This window comes from Homo sapiens, chromosome 6 (assembly GCF_000001405.40).
Source record: "Homo sapiens chromosome 6, GRCh38.p14 Primary Assembly".
Lineage (NCBI taxonomy): Eukaryota > Metazoa > Chordata > Mammalia > Primates > Hominidae > Homo > Homo sapiens.
The window spans coordinates 55,009,189-55,012,104 of NC_000006.12; the positions used below are offsets into that span (position 1 = coordinate 55,009,189).

Below are 2,916 nucleotides of genomic sequence, written 5' to 3' on the forward strand. Positions count from 1 at the left end.
TGACTTGGGCTGTGGGGACAAGTTTTGGGACCTAGCCATCCAGCCTCCCTGGCTCCAGAAGGGGAAAAGTGCAGCCTGTAACTATGGAAATGGGTGCTGCCCTTCCCCCCGCCCAGGGAGCTCAGCGTGTTAGGCAGTTGCAAGTCCCAGTGCTGGCTGCTACCCCTCCCACAAGGAGCTCAAATGGCTTAGACAGCAGGCAGCTGCAGCTTGTTCTGGTCGCCCCTTTCCCCGGGAGTTTGGTAGGCTTAAGCAGATTCCAGCTGAGAGGCTGAAGAATCTTCACATTCCCGGGTTGGGAAGCTAGGTCCCAGTGGCGTGGGTTCGTGAGTGGGATCTTCCGATCCAAGGGTTCCACAGTTCCGTGGAAGAAGCAGTCTCCCTGGCTGGGTAGCGCGCTCACTCACCGCCTTCCTTGGCTTGTGGGGACAGGGTACCCCTTTCCCCTGTCGCTCTCAGGTGGGTCGCCACACCACACTGCTCTTCCTTTTATCCGTGGGTCACGCCAGCCTTCTAGTCAATTTTGATGAGCGAACTTGGATACCTTGGTTGCAGGTGAAGACTTCACACGCTTATTATGTTTTTTTTTTCTATGGTAGACTCCAAGCACCGCTGCTTTTAATTAGCCATCTTGGCCCCACCCGAAGTTAATTTTTTTTTTCTTTTCTTTAGACAGGGTCTCACTCTGTCGCCCAGGCTGGAGTGCAGTGGCACGATCTCAGCTCACTGCAACCTCCGCCTCCCTGTTTCAAGCGGTTCTCCTGCCTCAGCCTCCCGAGTAGCGGGGAATACAGGCATACGCCATCGCACCCAGCTAATTTTTGCATTTATTGGTAGAGACGGGGTTTCACTAAGTTGGCCAGGCTGCTCTCAAACTCCGGATCTCTGGTGATCCACCTACCTCGGTCTCCCAAAGTGCTGGGATTACAGGCATTGAGACACCACACCCCAGCCTAAATGTTTTTAATGAGAATTTACTGAGACTATATTTAGCTGTTTTTCATGTTGACACAGTACAAGAAATTAAACATGGTCATTTGGTCTTTATCATTTACTATATATGCACGCACATGTACATATATGCATGTATGAATGGATGCATGTACATATATAAACACTTGTGGTGCTTCATTCACGCCAGGATTTCTCAACTTACCTTCTCCAATAGAATGTTTACCTCAATAAGAATATGTAGGAGCTGAAAAGTTAATCTCATGGAGGTAGAATAGAAGAGTATTTACCAAAGGCTGGGAAGGGTATGTATATTGGAGGGAGATGAAGAGAAGTTGATAAATAAGTACAACCATACAGTAAGACAGAAAGAATAAGTTATAATGTTCTATAGCAGAGTGGGGTGACCATAGTTAATAACAATGTGTTGTATATTTCAAATAGCTAGAAGAGAGGTTTTGAAATGTTCCCACCACATAGAAATGATAAGCGCTTGAGGTGACGGATAGCCTAAATACACTGACTTGATCATTATGCAATTCTATGCATGTAACAAAATATCACAGGTATTCCATAAATATGTACATTATTATATATCAATCAAAAAATAATTAAATATCAATCAAAAAAATCTACAATTCCTAGTGCTTGTGCAACACAAGTTCTCCCTCCTGTTTGACCGTTTTGAGAAACTGCTTGTGAAGTGGTGCTTTTATATCAAGCATCATCAGACTTCACTTCCATTTGTAAGTCAATGACCCATAATAAATTCTACAGTTTAACAATTTTTCGTAAGTCTAGAACTATATATGCAAATTGATACTAGATATTGGCATCTAAGTGTCACTTCTTTGGGGACTAAATTCAAAGTATCTGAAACTGTTATTGTTGTTCTTCAATTTGGATTCTCCTCATGTAATCCAATACTTGGTGAATATCCTCACCATCCATCTCGGTACCTATGTAACTTTGCTAAAACTTCCATAACAAAATACCACAGCCTGGGTGGCTTAAATAACACGTTTTGGGGTTACAAGAGCAAGGTAAAAGTACTGGAAGGTTTAGTTTCTTCCAAGGCTCTTCTTCTTGGCCTACAGGTGGCCCCCTTCTCACTGTGTTCTTGCTTGATGTTTATCTCTGTGCATCCCTCATGAATCTTTGTGTGCCCAGATTTCCTCTTCTACAGGCTTCCAATCAGATTGAATTAGGGTCCACCCTAATGGCCTCATTTTACGTTAATAATTTCTTTAAAAGCTCCAAATACAGTCACATTCTGAGATACTAGGGGGCAGGTCTTCAATACAGGAATTTTTGGGGGACACAGTTCAGCCCATAGTAGTACCCACATCAGAGTGTTAGAGGCTATTCTAGAAGCTTTACTTTTCCTCATTACTTAATATTCAATTTGTGAACAGGTATTATCAATGTCAACTCTTGAATGTTATCATATCTTACCTCTTCTTTCTATTCTCACTGCTGCTGCCTTAGATACATTCCTAATCCTCTCTTGGCTATATTGCATAAATATTCTAATTTTTCCCTCCTCCAATCTAGTTCTGTCTCCATGTTGTCCTCTACATTATTATTAGAGCAAGCTTCTTAGTTTTCAACATTGAAGCCCTTCAACGGCCAGCCCTTGCCATTGCCCTTGCTGCTGCCTGTAGAAACTATTCCTAGCACTGTTTCACCCTAATGATTTCAGGTTGGTTCTTTTAAGGGTATGAGGCAAGTTCTTTCCACGAATATGTACACATCATTACTCAGGCAAAGAATCCAAGAACGTTCTCTATCATTTCTGAAACCCTTCTCTGGGCAGCTGACTTCTTTCTCTGTTATTCTGTTTCATAAAGTTTAGCTTCCTTCACCTTTTTGAAATAGAATTTTCTGTCTTCTCAACTCAATGACACTGCCATGCTCTGTTTAGATTTCCCTGTTCTGCACTGTGGCCTGGAAACTGCCTCCAGG

At 42.9% G+C, this 2,916-nt stretch overlaps 1 annotated feature.

The window, feature by feature from the left end:
- Positions 221-721: an enhancer, noted in NCBI's record as "H3K4me1 hESC enhancer chr6:54874207-54874707 (GRCh37/hg19 assembly coordinates)". NCBI's record gives its function as "activates a minimal SCP1, AML or CMV promoter by ChIP-STARR-seq in naive H9 embryonic stem cells {active_cell/tissue: H9 hESC(naive)}" and the evidence as "EXISTENCE:reporter gene assay evidence [ECO:0000049][PMID:30033119]".